Source organism: Homo sapiens, chromosome 7 (assembly GCF_000001405.40).
Source record: "Homo sapiens chromosome 7, GRCh38.p14 Primary Assembly".
Taxonomy (NCBI): Eukaryota; Metazoa; Chordata; class Mammalia; order Primates; family Hominidae; genus Homo; species Homo sapiens.
Window position 1 is genome coordinate 6,686,652 of NC_000007.14, and position 20,888 is coordinate 6,707,539.

At 43.8% G+C, this 20,888-nt stretch overlaps 1 protein-coding gene across 2 annotated transcripts, besides 3 other annotated features; it reads right to left on the reverse strand.

Moving 5' to 3' along the window:
* Positions 1-1,781: 1,781 nt before the first annotated feature.
* On the reverse strand, positions 1,782-20,296 carry ZNF12 (zinc finger protein 12). 2 transcript variants are annotated; one of them, NM_006956.3, is made up of 6 exons: positions 19,781-20,296; positions 18,508-18,572; positions 11,034-11,160; positions 10,688-10,783; positions 5,951-6,052; positions 1,782-5,836 (listed from the first exon to the last, which is right to left on the reverse strand). In NM_006956.3, exons 2-6 carry the CDS (start codon positions 18,520-18,522, stop codon positions 4,197-4,199), a joined length of 1,980 nt encoding a protein of 659 aa, NP_008887.2. In that variant the 5' UTR covers positions 18,523-18,572; positions 19,781-20,296; the 3' UTR covers positions 1,782-4,196. The 2 variants fall into 2 exon arrangements, with proteins under 2 accessions (NP_008887.2, NP_057349.2); NM_016265.4 differs by having other exon boundaries at positions 1,782-6,052.
* Positions 19,912-20,271: a silencer, noted in NCBI's record as "silent region_17957". NCBI's record gives its function as "represses an Ori minimal core promoter by ATAC-STARR-seq in GM12878 lymphoblastoid cells {active_cell/tissue: GM12878}" and the evidence as "EXISTENCE:reporter gene assay evidence [ECO:0000049][PMID:35858748]".
* Positions 19,912-20,464: a biological region, named in NCBI's record as "H3K27ac hESC enhancer GRCh37_chr7:6746247-6746746".
* Positions 19,965-20,464: an enhancer, noted in NCBI's record as "H3K27ac hESC enhancer chr7:6746247-6746746 (GRCh37/hg19 assembly coordinates)". NCBI's record gives its function as "activates a minimal SCP1, AML or CMV promoter by ChIP-STARR-seq in primed H9 embryonic stem cells {active_cell/tissue: H9 hESC(primed)}" and the evidence as "EXISTENCE:reporter gene assay evidence [ECO:0000049][PMID:30033119]".

Here is a 20,888-nt window from a genome sequence, read left to right on the forward strand (position 1 = left end):
TTACAACAGAGCCTGCTAACTCGTTCTTTGGGTGTATCGCATCTATCAATCTCATCTATTATTTCCTTCATGTCGATTATGCATGCTCAACAATCCACTTTTCTTTTGGTAACTATATTTTTACACACACCCCATTCATCTTTATATTTTTCTTCAAAGATACGTATTAAGGCGGGGCGCAGTGGCTCAAGCCTGTAATTACAGCACACTGGGAGGCCGAGATGGGGGGGATCACTTGAGGTCAGGAGTTCAAGACCAGCCTGGCCAATATGGTGAAACCCCGTCTCTACTGAAAATACAAAAATTAGCCAGGCATGGCGGCACGTGCCTGTAATCCTACTCAGGAGGCTGGGGCAGGAGAATCGCTGGAACCTGGGAGGTGGAGGCTGTAGTGAGCTGAGATCGCACCACTGCATTCCAGCCTGGGCGACACAGTGAGACTCCATCTCAAAAAAAAAAAAAGATATGTATTAAGAACATTTTGAAATCTGTCTGGATGCCCATATTTCATTAAGTTAGGCCTTCTCATGTAAATGGTATTGTGTACTGTCTCTTAGTACCAATTCCTCATGTGTCTGACTACTTTCCTGAATGTTTACTTGGATACTGTAAATCTTGGCTGAGAATGAATAGCAGGGAGAAGGCCTAATCCTCCTGTTTCTTCCTGTTGGGTGGGTTTAAGTGGAGGAGTGTGTTACAGAAAAAAATCCCCTATCACCAATGCCTGGAATGAGACCCCCCCCCGCCCCGCTTGACTGACCCTCAGGATACCACTTGACATGATCACCCTAAATACTGCCTCCTTAAGATGTCTCCAGTCGACTGGGTGTGGTCGCTCATGCCTGTGATCCCAGCACTTTGGGAGGCCGAGGCAGGCAGATCACAAGGTCAGGAGATCGAGGCCATCCGGGCCAACATGGTGAAACCCCATCTCTACTAAAAATACAAAAAATTAGCTGGGAGTGGTGGCTGGCACCTGTAGTCCCAGCTACTTGGGAGGCTGAGGCAGGAGAATCGCTTGAACCCGGAAGGCAGAGTTTGCAGTGAGCCGAGATCGTGCCACTGCACTCCAGTCTGGTGACAGAGCAAGGCTCTGTCCGTCTCAAAAACAAACAAAAAACAAAACGAACAAACAAAAAAATGAATGTCTCCAGTCGTAGCAATGACTGGCTTTTGAAGTGAGGAGAGGATGCTCTAATGGAACCTAAGTGCTCCCATAGGACCGAGCTGCTCTCCTATCTTATGAAGGCACCATGGTGGGCTATCATCTCCTGGGCATACTACAGAGGACCATAAATGTATAGGGAAAAAGATTACAATTCAACTACTCTTTAAGATTTGTTCTGTCTGCCATTACCTTTCCCGCAAAAGAGCCCCATTCACATCCTTAGTTCTCTGGACCCAAACACTGCTCTTATTTCCGTGGCACCTCCGGGCTTGCACTGTAACAAGCCAGCAGCCCATGCTAGTGCATCAATTTGGCAGGAATCATAGACTTTATATTCAATGAAGGGAAAATCAATTTATTTTTGATGTAGTTATCTCTGTGATAGGAAGAAAAAAGCAATATAATTTTAAGAATGTATTTCCTGGTGGGCTTCATTTTAAGATGGGCCAAAAAAATCTCTTAATTTATGAAAACATTGGCATCTTTTAAACTATAAACATGTTACTATGAACACTGACTACATTACTGAAGAGGCAGTTCAGGACCACTTATATACGTACCAGACCCTTTGATGTGCAGGCAATCCATAGGATAAGAAGAAAATGCCAAGCCATTTACAGTTTTCAAATATTTTACTGAAAATGCATATTGTACAATTAATGTATAATGACACACCAGTGTGAGAAACCTCCATAGGTATCATTTCCACAAATATGCTATGAATATAGAGTTCCTACACAAAACTATACAACTTACCAGATGTAATTCCTGTTACGTACCATACTCACAATCGTCTTGAAGAATATGGAGAAAAAGTGCTGAGTGACAAAAACAGGAGCCATGTGTGATTTTAATAAATGGAAAACACGGCATTTCAGCTCAGTGGTAAAGCAGTAAACCAATCAGATGCTTAGCTATCAAGTAATCATGTGAGAGGAAACAGAATTAGATCCTTACCTCATACTATATGTTGTCAGCTAACACTGTAGCAGTGGTATATGAATCACATAAATTACCTCCAACAAAATGTATTCCATGTATTAGAAAAAAGGAGGTATGCCTAACATTGTGTCACGTTCCAAAGGTGAATTTTGCAGGTCAACGATATGACAGTTCAAGGAAGCATACATTTTATTGTTTCAAGTTGATTTCTAATGCTCAAACTATTTACGTCAAAATTTACAGAAAATAAATCTCTATATCAACAGCTTAAAATAAATGACTTACCTAAAGTCCACTTCTGAACTGCATAACTCCTATAAAGGTTTCAGTCTGTACCAATTAGAATGTCTTCAGTTATTAGTAATAGAGCATCCTAAATCAACTGGCTTAAAAATAAGTTTAGTCTCTCACAAAAGAAACAGTCCAAAGGAGGAGTGGCTACAAGGCTGCTTGGTTTGGTGGCTCAAAGACATCATCCAGGTCTCAGGGTCTTTCAGTATTTCTGCTCAGGCCATGATTAAACTATAATCCATTGCTGAAAGATGGTTACCAGGCACCACATCCAGACAAGGTACTGTTCACCACAAGATTCCACTTCCCTTTGCTTGAATCCTTGGGCCTTTGAGAAAACCTTTTCCAGAAGTAGTCTGTCAGGTATATCCTTTGTTTTATGTCTAGAATTGGGCCCTGTGACCACTGTAAATCAACTGCTGGCAACGAGAAGGGGAGTGTCACTGGTTAAAACTAATCAGGATTTATCTCACTTCCTTTTGAGGATAAATGGATAACCAAACTCCGCCAGCAGAGTAAGGGAGTGACTAAGAAAGTCACTCGGCAATGTCTGCCACAGACCCTTGTTAGAATGTGTTCTTAATTCATTAACAGGAAGGAGTAGAGCACAAGGTTTAAAACCAGTACGACATCAAATGAAAACACAGTGAATTCCTATGTTAGAAAGTCACTCGGCAATGTCTGCCACAGACCCTTGTTAGAATGTGTTCTTAATTCATTAACAGGAAGGAGTAGAGCACAAGGTTTAAAACCAGTACGACATCAAATGAAAACACAGTGAATTCCTATGTTACACAGCATTGTGCTCTGCACTGTTATGTAAGTGTCCAAATAAAAAACAGTAGAAAAAAAAATAGATACAAATGGGAATATTTTAAGTATATCTTAAAACTGTATAGAGTGCAATGATTTTCTCACTCTTGGAAAACTGGCATTATTAATTTTAAATTACCAAGCAAAGTTTTCTATCTATTTTATACATGGATATTTATCTCTCTGGCTGACTCAGATACAGTTGAAAACATTATAAAAGCATTGGTCCTTTAGAGCTGATATTGTTCATTAAGAATGATCAATGCATTAAATCCTAGAGAAGAGTGCAAGAAAAAGTATACTTTATACCTATCAAATGATATTAATGTAGTGCTGTTTAGAATACTCTTACTATATGAATTACAAAATAAGGATACAACGTTTTTTCAAACATGATTCGAAGTGAACATACAATTCCTGTAATGTACTGTAATAAAAACAACCCTCTCCCCAAACATAAGTCCTATGTTCTTTGGGAACTGCTTACATGAGTTTAAGGTTACCGACTTAACTAGCTATCCTGATGACTTTACAGTTTCTATTTACACAAGAAGTATGTTTATTCACAGCAGGAATCTTCTATTTCTTTTTTTTTTTTCAAGTTTGCTATTGTATCAGAAACATATCTTTTAGTATTAACAGTTTCCAAAGGATTATGTCTTCCACATTCCTTATACTGATAGATTTCCCCTTGGCTATGATTTCCCTGATATGCAAAACAGTTCCAATCCATGGTGACATGTATATACATTCTTAATATTTATAAATTTTTACTTGTCTATAGTCTAGTATTGTTATACCATGTGGTCTTGTTATAATCATGGTTTCCATTCTGTGAGTCTTCAGATTATGAGTCCAACACACAAGGGGATGTCCACACTAACCTGTGTGAACTCTCTGATGTACAAGGTGTTTGACTTCAGGCAGGAGTTTCTGATTCACTATACTGAAAGGGTTCTCTGATATAAAATGAGGTCTGACTTCAGAGAAGCCTTCCCACATCTATTACATTCATATTGCCTCTCCTATGAATTCTCTGATGGCTGTTGAATGCTGATTTGTGGTAGAATTTTTTTCCACATTCAGTACACTCATAGGGTTTCTCTCCTGAATGAGTTCTATAATGTACAGTGAGGTATGACATCCGAGAGAAGGCTTTTCCACACTCATTACATTCAAAGGGTTTCTCTCCTGAATGAATTCGATGATGTATAGTGAGATAGGACATCTGAGAGAAGCACTTCCCACATTCATAACATTCGTAGGCTTTCTCTCCTGTGTGTGTTCTCTGATGTCGATTAAGGGCTGAATTCTGGCAGAAGGTTTTCCCACATTCACTACATTCATAGGGCTTCTCTCCTGAATGAATTCTATGATGTATAGTGAGGTATGACATCTGAGAGAAGAATTTTCCACATATATAGCATTCATAGGGCTTCTCTCCTTTGTGTATTCTCCGATGTCTACAAAGGGCTGAGTTCTGGTAGAAGGTTTTCCCACATTCACTACATTCATAGGGTTTTACTCCTGAATGAGTTCTATGATGGATAGTGAGGTATGACAACTGGGAGAATAACTTTCCACATTCATTACATTCGTAAGGTTTCTCTCCTGTGTGCACTCTCTGATGTCTCATGAGGGCTGAATTCAGGTAGAAGGTTTTTCCACATTCATTACATTCATAGGGTTTCTCTCCTGAATGAGTTCTATAATGTACAGTGAGATATGACAACCGAGAGAAGAATTTTCCACACTCATTACATTCATACGGTTTCTCTCCTGTGTGGGTCCTCAGGTGGGTCGTGAGAGTAGACTTGCGGCAGAAGCATTTCCCACATTCACTACACTTGTAGAGTTTCACACCTGTGTGAATTTTCTGATGGTCATTAAGTGCTGACTTCTGCGAGAAGGTTTTCCCACAGTCATGACAAACATAAGGTCTCTCTCCTGAATGTGTTCTCTGATGTTGTGTGAGGTGTGTCTTCTGGCAAAAGGATTTTCCACAATAACTACATTCATAGGGCTTCTCTCCTGAGTGAGTTCTCTGATGCTGAATGAGGTGTAACTTCTGGTAAAAGTTCTTCCCACATTCATTACATTCATAGGGCTTCTCCCCTGTGTGTGTTCTCTGATGCACAGTAAGGGTTCCCTTCTGGCAGAAGGATTTCCCACACTGATTACATTCGTAAGGTTTCTCTCCTGTGTGAGTCCTCTGATGTATAATAAATTTTGACTTTTTACAGAAGGATTTCCCACATTCACTGCATTCATAGGGCTTCATTTCCATATGAGATGTCTGATGTACAGTGAGGTCCGACATCTGGAGAAAGGCTATTTCAGATCCATTCCACTTATAGGGCTTTTCTTCCATGTGATTAACAAAAACAGTGTCCTTTTGGAAGGCTTTCTGGCATTCAATATATTCAAAAGGTTTCTCCAAAATACGAATTTTCTGATAAAGACTTTCTTCATTTAGAGTATAAGGTTCCCCATTTTGATTAAATTCATAAGCTTGATCTCCTGGATGAGTTTTCTCAAGCTTAATATGGAGGAGTGATTTCCCACATCCACTACATTCATCAGCTTTCATTCTTGCATAGCTTCCATCACTACTAATATATTCTGAAACAGACGTTAAACACTTTTCACATGAGTCACAGAGGCTATTTTTATAGGCTATTTTTCTTGAAGGAACAGGGTTCGTTTCTACATCAAAAGTTTTACCAGGAACATTACCTCTCTCTTCAATCAGGGTCTCAATGAACACAGTTTGCCTTGAAGGTTTATTTTCCTCTTCCTGGATTCTCTCTATTAGGTCATCAGTTTGCCAGACTTCATCTAAAGAGAGACAAAATTAATAAACTTTTGTACATCTTCCTATATATATATGATATGGAATGAGATTCATGATTTGTACACACGCATCTCATTGTGAGTAGATGCTAGCTTCATGAACAGATGAAAATAATTCCAAGTGTACTCTTCTCCTTTATGCTTTTGCTTAAAATTACACACACACAAACACACACACACACACACATCCCCCTCTAGGAATGGAGAAAGGGGGAAGTAAACTGACAAAAACACATGCACTTTTGATCTACTTTATATTTTGTTCAAAACTGGGAATAGAAGATAAAATATAACACAGAACAATGACTGGTAGGCGAAGAATGCAGGATGAATGGCTGACAGGGTAGAGCGATAAGGAGTGCTGTTGGACAAGGAGGGTCATAAGATGTATTCAATTAGGGATTCATTTAGGGGGAGGTAAAGCTGTACTTTATACCACATCACTTCATACCAAGTTGAGAGAGATTACAATTTAAGGCATTAGCACTGTATACTAAGATTTTTGTGGTAGCATTTTCACTAGACTACATCCTTCCAAACTATTTTGCCTTCTTTCCTCATTCCACATAGTAGAATAAACTAAATCTCCTCATGTTTAAAGGAACAGCCCTATAACCAGGGCATTCGCCCTGTAATTCTGTTTCACTTGGATGAAGAATCCCAGGAATGTATATATATATCCTACAGGAAATATAAAATAGTCCACAGAGCTATAGGCTTATCTTGTGAGGATAGCGATGAGATCAACTGGAAACTTCAGTATTCTAATGATGCTATGATTTAATGCTAAACTCATTCTGACCATGAAATTCTACTTGTTCCTATTTGAACAGTATATTTAATAGCATGAATTCTGGTGAGGTGACCTAGGGCAAGCTACTTAGCAATTCTCTGTAGTCAGTATCCTTCATCTGCCAAATGGAGATAATGGCACCTACCTCATAAGGTGGTTGTAGGATTGCAGCAGTTAATGCAGTGCTCAGAGCAGCATCTGGCACAAAACACATGCTTGATAAGCTTAGCAATTATTCTTCCCATCTTTCAATCTCCTGACCATTTGCTTAAGCCAGACCCACCCTGACATACTACCATCACTTAATTCTCAGTGTGAGTGCTTTCCCACTCCTGAGTAGCATTTAGTGTACAAACCTTACAAATCAGATCCCTGGCCGGGCGTGGTAGCTCACGCCTGTAATCCCAGCACTTTGGGAGGCTGAGGCGGGCGGATCACTTGAGGTCAGGAGTTCGAGACCAGCCTGGCCATGATGGTGAAACCCTGCTCTACTAAAAATACAAAAATTAGCCGGGCGTGGTGGTGGGCACCTGTGATCCCAACTACTTGGAAGGCTGAGGCAGGAGAATCGCTTGAACCCGGGAGGTGGAGGTTGCAGTGAGCCGAGATTGTGTCACTGCACCCCAGCCTGGGTGACAGAGTGAGAATCTGTCTCAAAAAAAAAAACAAAACAAACAAAACAAACAAACAAAATCAGATCCCTTACCATGCTCCTAAAATAACAATTTTATTTTTACTTACCTTAGAAGTGTCTGGATGAACCTGACTACTGTACTTGCTATCATGCACATTAAGTGAAACGATATCAACCGTAACCCCTATAACCTGTGCTTTCCCTGAACCCACTGCCAAAATATCAACAGATCAAATGAGAAAAAAATCTGAGAGACAATACTTTTCACCACCTGGGATCACTATATGCTGCCAAGCTAGGATGACAGTCATCTAACAAAAATATTCCGTTGCAGGAAAAGCAAGCTATTTGTTGCACAAGGAGGTTCCTAAGATAAGTCCAAGTAGAGAGTTGTTCTGGAGGAAGTGGGTCTGCACTTTACACCTTCTCATGTCACATCAAGCTGGGAGAGATAGGTCATGATCTATCTCTTATCCTTGCCTTATGCTACGATCACTGTGTGCCTGATCAATGCCCAGCACATTTCACCTACAGTCTCCACCCTTATTGTTTCACTCAGTTTGCTTGACTTCCTGCCTTCATCTTCTCAAAACCTACCTTTGTAGGGGATTTCCATGCTTGAAAAAAATACTTCTCAAATCCTTTCTCACCTCAATTCCATTTCCCCTTGAAGTTGAGAATACTGTCTATAGAATCATTTTAATACAAAGTGACTCAGCCTTGCATTGGAACATCAGCACTCCATGTAAAATGCTGAGTTTTAATTACTTCATGCAGCGCTGTTCTCTTTTTTTTTGAGACGGAGTCTTGCTCTGTCACCCAGGCTGGAGTGCAGTGGTGCGATCTCAGCTCACTGCAAGCTCTGCCTCCCAGGTTCAAGGGATTCTTCTGCCTCAGCCTCCTGAGTAGCTGGGACTACAGGCATGCGCCACCAGGCCTGGCTAATTGTTTAGTAGAGACAGAGTGTCACCATATTGGCCAGGCTGGTCTCAAACTCCTGACCTCATGATCTGCCCGCCTCGGCCTCCCAAAGTGCTGGGATTACAGGCGTAAGCCACCACGCCCAGCCCTTGTTCTCTTTTCCTAACCACAACCTTTCTCCTAGGAAGGATGGTCCTATTTCCTATTTCCTTTGAACCTCTGAATAAAAATCAGAGAAGCTGTTCTTAATCTGAATCATATAGGTATTTTTCCACTACTTGCAAAATATATGGGGATGTGACCCAGGCATGCATTATTTCTTTTTTCTTTTTTTTGTAGAGACAGGGTTTCACTATGTTACCCAGGCTGGTTGCAAGCAATCCTCCTGCCTCAGCTTCCCAGGGTTGGGATTACAGGTGTGAGCCACCACATTTGGCCCAGGCATGCATATTTAGAAGTAACTGCCTGTAAATTATTTCTGAATGGATGGACAAGAAAGTTCTTTCACCTGCCTAGCTTCTCAGATAATCAAAGAAAGAAAGAAATATCTCTCTCTGTTACACACTACATCAAGGGATAACATGCCCCTTTCCTTACAGGACTATGATCCAAGAGCAAAACAGCTCAAGCAAAATATAGACACTATCGAATAACAGATTACTTAATCAGAGTCACTTCTTTATCCTATCACCCCTAGGTGAAACTGAAGTCGAGGGAAGGGAGATACAGAAGTCATGACAAAAGTCAGGGAGGGGTTGAAGATTTGAGGTCAGACTTAAAGAATGTGTTATGTGGGGAAGGAAAGCACACCCTAATGAAATGTAAAGCTGTAGGGACAATAGTATCATGAAGAGAAGACATTAGGAGTGTGAACCAAACGGAGTTTAGTCAGAGTTTTGGGGAAACAACAGAAAATTACTTTTTCCAGGTAATACAGGCCTAATATTGTTGAGATCCTTAAGGGACAAGGAATTAAAATTCCCTTTAGGAAGTAAAATGTAACCAACTATAGGCTTATCTTGTGAGGCTAGCGATGATATCAACTGGAAACTTTAGATGAAGACATACTGCAAATCCAGCTAGGACTCATAGCATGACAGCATCTAGTCTTTGTTTACATTAAGTCAAAGGAAACTGAGGATATACAGAGGACAATGAAGACATTTCACACTGGACAAAATCCAGTAATCCAGAGAGATCAGTAATATCTGATGAGAATTTCAGTGGTTTCACAGGGACCACTATAGAAGAAGAAGAGATTAGTATAGTTTAGTAAATAAAGGGAGGTGGAAAGGTGATTAGTAATTATAATTTGGAATAGGTCATGATCAATTTCCAGGCCTGATGAGAACAAGAGCAGCTCTGTAACTGGTATCACAGAAAATACCAGACTAGAGCCCAGGCTCAATGGTGGTAGAGATGTCATCCTGGGTGCGAGCAACATAAAATAAAAAACAAAGCCTAAAGACTTGGCACTGGAGGCACCCTTTGAGAAACTCATAATGCGAGGAAATCACAGTAGGTAGAAACAGACCCTTTAAAGACATTTCTGGAGGTGGTGGAAGCATAAACCAGACTTCATTTGCGTATATGATACTTACTAAGCACCTGCCATGACAGGGTATCATTCAAGGCATTGGGAACAGAACAGAAAATAAGAAACAAGATGAAAACGAGCATTTGGTTAAAGAGGGAGACCCAGGTACTGCAGTCACCAAATTTCAGGAGGGCTGGGTCTCAGGAATGAGCAGCACTGTCCAATGAAGCACAGGTGCACATGACAAGTAGCAGGATCCACTGGCTTAGGCACAGGATGGGAACTTTGGAGTCTAACCTCAAAGAAAGAAAAGTACAAAGTAGAACAGGGTCCAGAAACAGTCTCAGGCACTGCACGGTAAAGATTAAAAAAAAAAAACCAGAAGTTACACGAAGAACACAAGAATCACATAAGTTATTTTTAAATGTCAGACTTATAACACCTAAAAAATCCATGATAATGGTTTCTGAAAATGCTAGAAGAGCAAGCAAAGACCCAAAGTTTAAGAGAACAACAGAAGTGACTGGAATTCGATTCTTGGGAGTGGCAAGCACAGAAAAGCTCCATAAACATAAGTTCTTACGGGGAAGGAAGAAGTCTTTGGGAGTGAGATTCAGGTTCATAGAGCATATAAGCAACTATTTCTAGTCACTTCTAAAGGTTCGGGACCATTAAAAAATCCCTGGGAAAAACACTCCCAAGTTACCGATCTCCTCACTGCCTCCACTAACACACCTGGATAGCTCTGAAGTAGGAATTCTCCTTCTACTATCCATGGCTCTTCTCCTTGCTCCAACTTGCTGATAACATCCGGTTTGATAATGTGATACCCTGTTAATGAGAAATGAAAGAGAACTTGAGCCCAGGCCGGTTGGCTTCAGGGTCTCTGTCATACAGGGAAAATTCCATTTGTGTCTTATCAAAATCAGAACTTTTCACGGGGGAGATCAAGACCAAAATGCCCTGCCTGGTGCCCAAAAACAGATTACTCACATTCGTCCCATCAAATTTTAAGTTAAAGTCATAAAATTTGTGAGAAATCCCATATATTTTAGCAACTGAGAAAGCAAGCTATCCTCACCCACAGAAACTAGATTGCTGTAGTTCTCCAGCATCACATCCCTGTAAGTTATCTTCTGCTCAGGATCCAGCTGCTGCCATTCCTCCTGGGTGAAGTCCACAGCCACGTCCTTGAATGACACTGGCCCCTGAAATGGCACCGTGATTGGAATTGGGTGACGTGAAATAGGCACATAGGTACAAGATCTTAGCATGCTCACTGGCAAAATTAACCATGAACACTGTATACCTTTATTTTATGTTACAGACTGTCAAAGGGAAACAAACATATCAGAAATACACTGTTCTGGGGTTCATTCAGTATACATCAAACAAAAAACAAAAAACAAAAAAACAACACTGGGATTGCACGGTGAGCCAGAAACAATCCTGGCTGTTGGGAACTCTTAACACCAGCAGGGACGAATCTCACCCCTGAGGAGCACAGGCCTGGGGACACTCACAGAACCCCAGGATGCACTCTGCTTCTTTGCACATTCTTCAATTTGCTTCTAGAACATTAATAATGTTGGTTCTCTTCTTACCTCCCTGGTCACTCCTTCTCAGTCCCTTTGCTGGCTCCTCCTCTACTCCAAGTCATCCTGAATGTTGTGGGCCTACGGCTGTCTTGAGTCTTTTTCTCTTTGCTGTCTGTACTTGCTGCTTTGATGGTGAGCCCTCTTCCTGGCTAATTTAATTACCATCTATACACCAACATTTTCCAAATTTACATCATCAGTCCAGGCCTCTCTCCTAAATTCCAGACACATATGTCCCAGATGGCAAACTCAACATCCCTGAAATTCAATTGCTGTTCCTGTTCAAACCTGCTCCTACCATAGCTACTACTGGAACCAACCCACAATATTTGACACAATTACCAAAATAACAAACAGGCTGGGCAACACACATTCTAGTTTTTATTTTTACTGCCAAGTGACCAAGCCTACAGCAGTTCAGAATGCAGCCTGTCACATGAATTATCAGTAATAGCTTGGTTCAGGTTTTCCTAATTCCCAGCTGGGAACCCCAAATTTCCTTTCTTCCCATGGTACACGTTCTAGGAGAAAGGAACATTCCTGAGGAGGAACAGACAGCTGACCTGGAAACTGTCAAAACCACATCTATAAATGTGTATCTTTTGAATAAAGTGTCCCATTCACAAGTACTCACACTAGCCATTATAACTGTTTCCTTTAATATCATCCCCTCTAAAATAAAGAGAATAATGCTACCTATACATAATACCAGTATTAAATGGACTAATCCACGAAAAGCACTTAGCATAGTTTTTTGGATAAAACACATATTTATCAATGAAATCTACTGTTATTGCTGACTTTCTACTGTGGCTCTGACCACTTTCCAAATTAGGACAGAAAATTAACCATAAAACACAGAAGTTTAAACAACTGAAGGTTATGTGGTTGTTATTTATGTAATTGGCAAGAAAGAATCATAAAACAGTGTCTGTGTGTTAAGAACAAAGAGGCTGAGATGATTTCAAGAAAATATGGTAGCAGGAATGGTGTAGAAGGTGTGGAAGGAAAGGCCATGTCATGTTCAGAGCTACGTAAGATGATGACAAACTCCTGATGTTGACTGAACACCTTGGGTTTCATATGTGGAATGACTGGAATGATCCATGAGTGCAAGCTGGGTTCTACTGACTCCCTGAGATGCCGTGCCACTCTCTCCCAGCTCTAGATATAGGCGTATCCACAGACAGGCCTGGCTGGCCTGGGAAGGATGAGGGTAATCAGGGCTGAGAGTGTCCAGCTGCTGATGGGACACACGGTGGGGAAAGAAGTGGGTCCCACCCCAGCCAGATGAATCCAGGTGCAGGACTGCCCCAGCAGGTGATGAGAACTTCCTGGGGAGCAATAGCTGAGCTTCCAGAAACTCTGTGCACACTTTGTTCAGACGTCATCCACCATGAGGATCGGGAGAGTCTCGAAGTTCACGTATGGCATTGCCCTGCCTTGCTGAGCAATAACAACTTGTTTATTTCTTAGGAAAGTCAGCCTGGTTTCCTTTATTCAAGTGGTAGGTCCCTGCTTAGTATGTCCACCTGATATCTGTCAGGATGGTCACTGTGCAATGGGTGAAAACGGGCAAAGGACTTTCAAGGACTCATAAGAGGAAAAATGTGAAGAAAGTCATCAGCTCAGGAAAAGTCACAAAAGGAAAGCAAACAAATGAAAGTAGATGAGTAAAGAGACCACATATATCTATGACTACAATAAGTGTGAACACATAAAATCTCTATTTTATTTTCGATTTTTTTTTAAATCTCTATTTTAAACCAGAATCCCTCTTACAATAAAAATATGCCAGGGACGGCCGGGCGTGGTGGCTCACACCTGTAATACCAGCACTTTGGGAGGCCGAGGTGGGCAGATCACAAGGTCAGGAAATCGAGACCATCCTGGCTAACACAGTGAAACCCCGTCTCTACTAAAAATACAAAAAATTAGCCGGGCGTGGTGGCAGGCACCTGTAGTCCCAGCTACTCGGGAGGCTGAGGCAGGAAAATGGCGTGAACCCGGGAGGTGGAGCTTGCAGTGAGCCGAGATCGAGCCACTGTACTCCAGCCTGGGCAACAGAGCAAGACTCCGTCTGAGAGGAAAAAAAAAAAATATACACACACACACACACACACACACACACACACATATATATACATATGTGCCAGGGACACGATCTTGACCAGAAACATACTTAGAAATAACCAAACCATTTCAGTCACACTTCTGTCCTATAGATCGTATATATTTGAGTCTTTCCATTAAGAGATTCTAAGTGATCTTCCTGAGAAAGAATATTTCATTCTTTTTAGAATCCCATTAGCTAGGAGAGTCCTCTGTCTAGCATCTCAGCTAGACACCCTTGAGTGTCACTGACTCAATCCCCTCAAACCCCCACTGCATTTGTTTTTCACAATGTCAGTCTCTATTAATTTCAGCTTTTCAACAGATGACACACTTTTCAAATTAGAAGGCTTGAAGTTCTCTGTAGGACAAAACCAAAACTCAGTCCAGCATTGGGGGCTCCTGGGTCCATCTGGGTATTTATCTGCATTCCCATCCCTCAGTCTCTTAACAGGAAGTCCAAATTCTAAGGAAGCAAAAATCTCACCAGCCCTCCAGGAGACTTACTCAGGCCCCTAATGCTGGTCTCCTGAGTGCCTTTACAAGCCTCTGCCACTAACCCGAATTATTCCAGGGCTGGCAAATGCCACCTTTCCCTTCCTTGAATGACTGAATCACAATACTTTGATGGTGCATTCATTTGTTCGTTTGTTCGTTTGTTCATTCATTCATTCATTCATTCGAGACAGGATCTTGATCTGTTGCCCAGGCTGGGGTGCAGTGGTGCAATCATAGCTCACTGCAGCCTCATATTCCTGGGCTCAAGTGATGCTTCTGCCTCAGCCTTCCAAAGTGTTGGGATTACTGGTGTGAGCCACTATGCCCGGCTGAGGATGCATTTAAAATCAGACTTCTGCTTCATCATCACTTCAGAGTTTCCCAGGCATTGACCAGAACGACTCCCATGATCTCCCATAATTACATCCATGAATTACCTCCTCCAAGGAGAACATAAGCACCTTGAGAGAAAGAAGTGCCTCTTAAAATCATATCCCAAACCCCAAGACAAATGATGTTAGTGTCTAAGAAAAAAAGACAAAATGCTAGCTGAGCAGAAGGACACAGAGCCAAGCAAGGAGGGAGCTTCCTCTGGGACTCCTGAAGCCCCAGAACAGCAGGTGTCTGTGTGGTAGACTGGCTGCTGCTCTAATCGCTTTCAGCTGAGAAACACCAGTATCATGACACAAGCTCCCAAAAGAGTAGTATGTTACATTTACATTGTGAGAAATGAGCTGGGATTTCAGACAGAAGGAAAGGATGGTCCTCACGGCTGGCTGAGCATGTGTGGGGGTGGTTAGGATGCAGCTGCTCTCTCCCAAAACCCGGCCGTCACCCCTCACTCTTGGCTGACGAGCTATTTCCCTGAGAAAAGAAGCAAATAGGAATGCTATGTCTACCCTCTTCTCTAACCACCTCATGGGACACCTCCAACTGTTTGCATCTCTGTCCCCTCTGGCTGACTCGAGGCCCCACAGCCATTCTCACTCCATGGGCAACAACTATTTCTCATTCTCGACAGAATCACCCCACTATTATCTCTCCCATCAAAACAAAACAAAATGAAAAATCCTTTCTTAACCTCAACTCCTATTCCTGCTACTATCCAATTTCTCTTTTTCCTTTAGGGCAAAATTTCTCAAAAAAAAAAAAAAAAAAAATTCTCAATAGACCAAATTCAATTCTTCTACCACTCTCTCCTAAACCTCTCCAATCAGGATTTCCCTTACAGATCCAGCCACAGGGCCTCAGAGAGTCACATGACCTCCCCTGAGCTAAATCCCAGCACTATTTCTCAGTCTTCCTTGGGCTGGACTCTTAACAGCATTTGACACAGTTGATCACCTGTCCCTGAAGCTTCTCATTCCCTTGGCTTCAGAAACTGCACGCTCCTGGTTCTCCCTCTAGCCTGACCAGTAGCACCTTCCCAGTTCCTCCTTCTCTACCAGACTGCACATGGGAGAGTACCAGATTCGTCTCCCAAACTCCACAAACACACACACACACACACACACCAGATTCGTCTCCCAAACTACACACACGCACACACACCAGATTCATCTCCCAAACTCCACACACACACACACAACCAGATTCGTCTCCCAAACTACACGCACGCACACACACCAGATTCATCTCCCAAACTCCACACGCACCAGATTCGTCTCCCAAACTCCACACACACACACACACACACAGATTTATCTCCCAAACTGCACACACACACACACACACATGAGATGCGTCTCCCAAACTACACACACACACATACACGAGATGCGTCTCCCAAACTACACACACACACACCCACACGAGATGTGTCTCCCAAACTACACACACACACAGAGATATATCTCCCAAACTACACACACACACACACACACACATATGAGATGTGTCTCCCAAACTACACACACACACACACACGAGATGTGTCTCCCAAACTACACACACACACACACACACACACACACACACACCGAGCAGATTTGTGTGTCAAAATACACACACACACACCCAGAGAGATATATCTCAAAATCCACACACACACACACACAACAGAGTTGTGTCTCAAACTCTACACACACACACCCCCTAGAGTGGTGTCCCAAACCACACACACACACACACCAGATTCGTGTCCCAAAACACACACACACACACACACACCTGCCTTCTTGATGCTGCCACTCATTGCATACTAACACAGCTAACACAGCTCCCAAACTACACACACACACACACACACACACACCCCTACCTGCCTTCCTGATGCTGCCACTCACTGCATACCAACACAGCCCAAATTTTAAACATCTGAAACCTAATTCTGGCCTTTTCTCAAGCCTGCTTTACCCACAGTCTTCCCCATCCCAGCTTCAGGCAACCTCATTTTCGTAGTAGCCACTCTGGGAGCCACGCAAGTGCTTTTCCCATGGGGGAAGCACGATATGATGAACACTTCAGGAGAAATACTCGACATGGGAAATGCAATATGCCTGGGCTTGTGGAGGAAAGTAGCAGTATAGAAAGAAAATCTCTACAACAGTAGAGAGGCCAAAAAATAAGCTATTTTTACAACAGCAGGGAGGGGATAGGGGACAGGATAAAAACCATCTAGAATATGACATGTACAAACTCAAAACAATCGCGAGGTCAGAAAATGGACAACTTTAGAAAGAATCCCATCTTTCTCGATAGGGCTACAGGCTGGACGATGGAACAATGAATCAATAGGAACAAGAGAAGGCATAGGTGGGGGGGCTCCAAATAATTATTCTGAACCTGCTGCATCTATGACCTTGAGGGGTCCTTTGGACACACTCCAAAGAAATGCTAAGCAGGTGGCTGGACAGTTCTATGTGGGAAAACCAACACAGAGCTGGTAGTTAGAAGCACAGGAGGGTGACATCAGATAGGTACAGAGTCGTGAGCCAAGAGTGGACACCAACACATGAAGACCAAAGAAATCATCAATTTCAGGAAGCAGGCAAGAAGAGAAAGGGCACTCAAACTGACAGAGCAAACTGCAGAGTGGGCCAAGGCAAAGATGCAAATGTCCACTAAGAGCATGTGCTGGATTATTGGCAACCTTTTCCAACAAGGTCAGGGGAGTGGTAGGGACAGGACCAAGACCACAGGCTATGGGATAAAATGGGCATCTATGCCAGAGATTTATTATGGTCCTTTCTGCTGTGCAACCCAGATAAACTAAGAGAAATATTTAGGGAGGCGGCTTGGCATGGTGGCTCACACCTATAATCCCAGCACTTTGGGAGGTCAAGGTGGGCAAATCACTTGGCACTTGAGGTCAGGAGTTCGAGACCAGCTTGGCCCAAGTGCTTCTGAAACCCCGTCTCTACTAAAAAAATACAAAAATGAGCTGGGTGTGGTGGCAGGTGCCTGTAATCGCAGCTACTCGGGAGGCTAAGGCAGGAGAATCGCTTGAATCAGGGATAGCGCCACTGCACTCCAGCCTGGGCAACAGAGTGAGACTCCATCTTTAAAAAAAAAAAAGAAAAGAAAATATTTAGGGAGACTAATTTAAGGGTGAGAAGGCCATTTCTGCAACGGATAGAGCAGTAAAAAGAATCTACCTTTGAGACAACAATGTTTTAGTTACTAGAAATATTATGGGCTGGGCGCAGTGGCTCATGCCTGTAAGCTCAGCACTTTGGGAGGCCGAGGCGGGTGGATCACCTGAGCTCAGGAGTTCGAGAGCAGCCTGGCCAACATGGTGAAACCCTGTCTCTACTTTAAAAAAAAAAAAAAAAAAAAAAAAGGCCGGGTGTGGTGGCAGATGCCTGTAATCCCAGCTACTCCAGAGGCTGAGGCAGGAGAATCACTTGAACCTGGGAGGTGGAGGTTGCACTGAGCTGAGATAGCGCCACTGCACTCCAGCCTGGTGACAGAGCGCAATACTTGGTCTCAAAAAAAAAAAAAAAAAAAAAAAAAAAAAAAGAAAGGCAAGAATTGCAATGGTTCAAGGGTTATTATTTAGGAAAGCTGTTGATAATGATCTCAGAGGAATCTTTAAAATTCATGCAAAAACAAAAGTGATTCTGCTTACGGTCAATGTAAGTCAAGGAATGGATGGTATTTATCATTTTTTGTGATAAATGCCAAGAACATAAGACGCTTGTACTCTGACTTCAAGAACTCTTTAAGGATCACGCTATCTGCGCATATGAATATGATAAAAAGGCTTGGTGCTGATGGCTACTGTTCTGTCTGACCAAATCTTGTATCTATTTCTACTTTCCCATTTTAAACTTTGAACCCTTAATCTCCTCCTAAGGTGTATTGTAAATCAGAGTAGAGAATAAATACATGAACAGAAACACTCACCAGGGATTTATTCATTTTCTGCTGCTCTTGGAAAAATCTGGAGGACTGTGAAAGCGGAGGCAGATCTGGGGAAGGAAAACCCAAGCCATGGCGTTATGAGCGGTCTGGCCTGCCAAGGCGGTCATCTCCCGCCCAAAACCTACACAGAAAGTTCCAAGAAGTACATCTTGTGGGAGACTGTCCCTTTAAGCCTTCAGAAGGGATTGGAAAATGATCAGGAGGGGGACCGATCTGCACATTTGAAACTCACACATGGCTACCTTGTGACTGAGTGGATGAGATTCTCATGGTGAATGAATACTGGATCCTACTGAAATAATCTGCCATCATTAAATGCAAGATTTAAAAAGGAATTCTGGTGACCAGCCTGGCCAACATGGTGAAACCCCATGTCTAGTAAAAATACAAAAATTAGCTGGGCGTGGTGGCGGGCGCCTGTAACCCCAGCTACTCGGGAGGCTGAGGCAGGAGAATCGCTTGAACCCGGGAGGCGGAGGTTGCAGTGAGCTGGGATGGCACCATTGCACTCCAGCCTGGGCAACAAAGCGAAACTTGTCTCAAAAACAAACAAACAAACAAACAAAAAACAAACAACAAAAAATGAATTCTGTAATACTCATCTATTTTCTTACTCTTTTAAATAAAGATCAGAAAATCCACAGGATGCCCTAAATAAAGGAATACAGTCGGCATAATTGAGTCTTTATTTGCAGAAACTTCAGTGTGCTACTCAAAAGGATCTTTTATTGAAGAACTTACGCTCACTTAACTAGGATACGGGGGACAGAACACTGGCCTGGGAGATAAAACTCCAGAGTTCTACTATGAGCAACTCCACCCACAAAACCTCGGACAAGTCACCCACCTGCTAAGGCCCTTCCCCTAGCAAATGAGGCAGCAAGAGATAGTTCCTGCAGGCTGTTCCTGCACTACAACGTATGATTCCACAAGAGCAGACCTAAGGGGGAATCAGCACTTAAATGAGAGAACAGAGGTGCTGACGGACGTTTAGATACGGTAGCAATCTGGAGCAGAGAGAGGAGGAAGGGCTGCTGGGGTGAGGGGGGAGTGGAGACAACGTCCGCAGCTGAGGCTGGTGACACCCCCCACGCCCCCGTAAGCCTCGTCCTCGCCGGACCCTGCCTTCAAACCCAAACACACGTCACTCCTGCAAGCGATCGAGACCTTCCACTGTCCCTCACTCTAAGGTGCCCTACACGCGGTGACTTCACCCAGGCCCTTCTCGCCCCGGGCCCGCAAACCCACGACTTACCCTCCTGGGGCTCCGCAGCCTCTGCCCCACCGCTCCCGACAGGCCGGGGCGGGATTGCTGTCGCGGGCGCGCGTCTGCTCGCGAGGTCCCTTCCTGTCCACCTCACCAAGGCCGTTCTGCTCCAGAGGGGCCCGGGCCGGGCCTACGGGACAAATCCAGGCGGGGCGTCCCTCCCGGAGCCCAGATCCGTCTCCCTGGGGCTCACCGTCCTGCGGAGCCGGGGCCGGGCCGTCGAGGACGCACACGGGCCGGGCCCGGGTCCCGCCGCCCCTTCGCCTCCGCCGTCGTCACCGCCCGGCCGGCCCCTTGGGCCCCAGCGCCGTCGGCTCCGGGGGTCGTGCTCGGGGATCCCCGCTTGAGCCTCCGCCTGGCCCGCACAGCCCCGCGCCCGCTTGGGTGCCGGCCCGGCTCTTCGGCGCCCAGCCCCGCAGGCTCCGCGATTCTCGCCCACCGGAGGCCAAAGCCTGGGAACTAGGGCGAGCGGTGACCTGGGGACGCACAGGAAGCGAGGGCACTGCGGCCGCGGCGCGCATGCGCGAACACGCACACAGAGAGGGGTGCACATGCGCAGGAATGCACCGGAAGTCCGCCTCCCGGGACCCGCCGCCGGTCCCAGGACAAATACCGTGACTCTATTTCCCATGAGCCTACGCGCTCCCCAAATTTAGGAGCCATTTGAAATGTCTCTATCTGGTCTAGCGGTTAAGAGGCTCTATGCTAAGAGAATTGGCAACGCCGAACCCCAGACTCAAATTTCTCCTTAGTTTAAGGGAACGTCTTCATGGGGATGTCTTGACTATCTTTAAGGGAACGTCTAGAAAGTCTCTGCTTCCTGTAGCATCTCGTAGACCATGCCTGGGCCAGTCCTGCCTTACCGGAGAGCTCAAGGCTTAAAATCAATGTCCATGTGCAACCGTGACAAATGGAACAAGAGGGTGCATCATGCTAGCTTATGATCACAATGACACATTTAACGAAAACTTCAGTAAATAGAGCCCATGGATGAAATAATAGAGGATTAGCCTGGGACAGGATACCATCCTCGCCCCAACAAGGAGAAAAAGAATTCCAGCTTTTCCAAATCACTTTGAATTAGTGATAGCTAGAA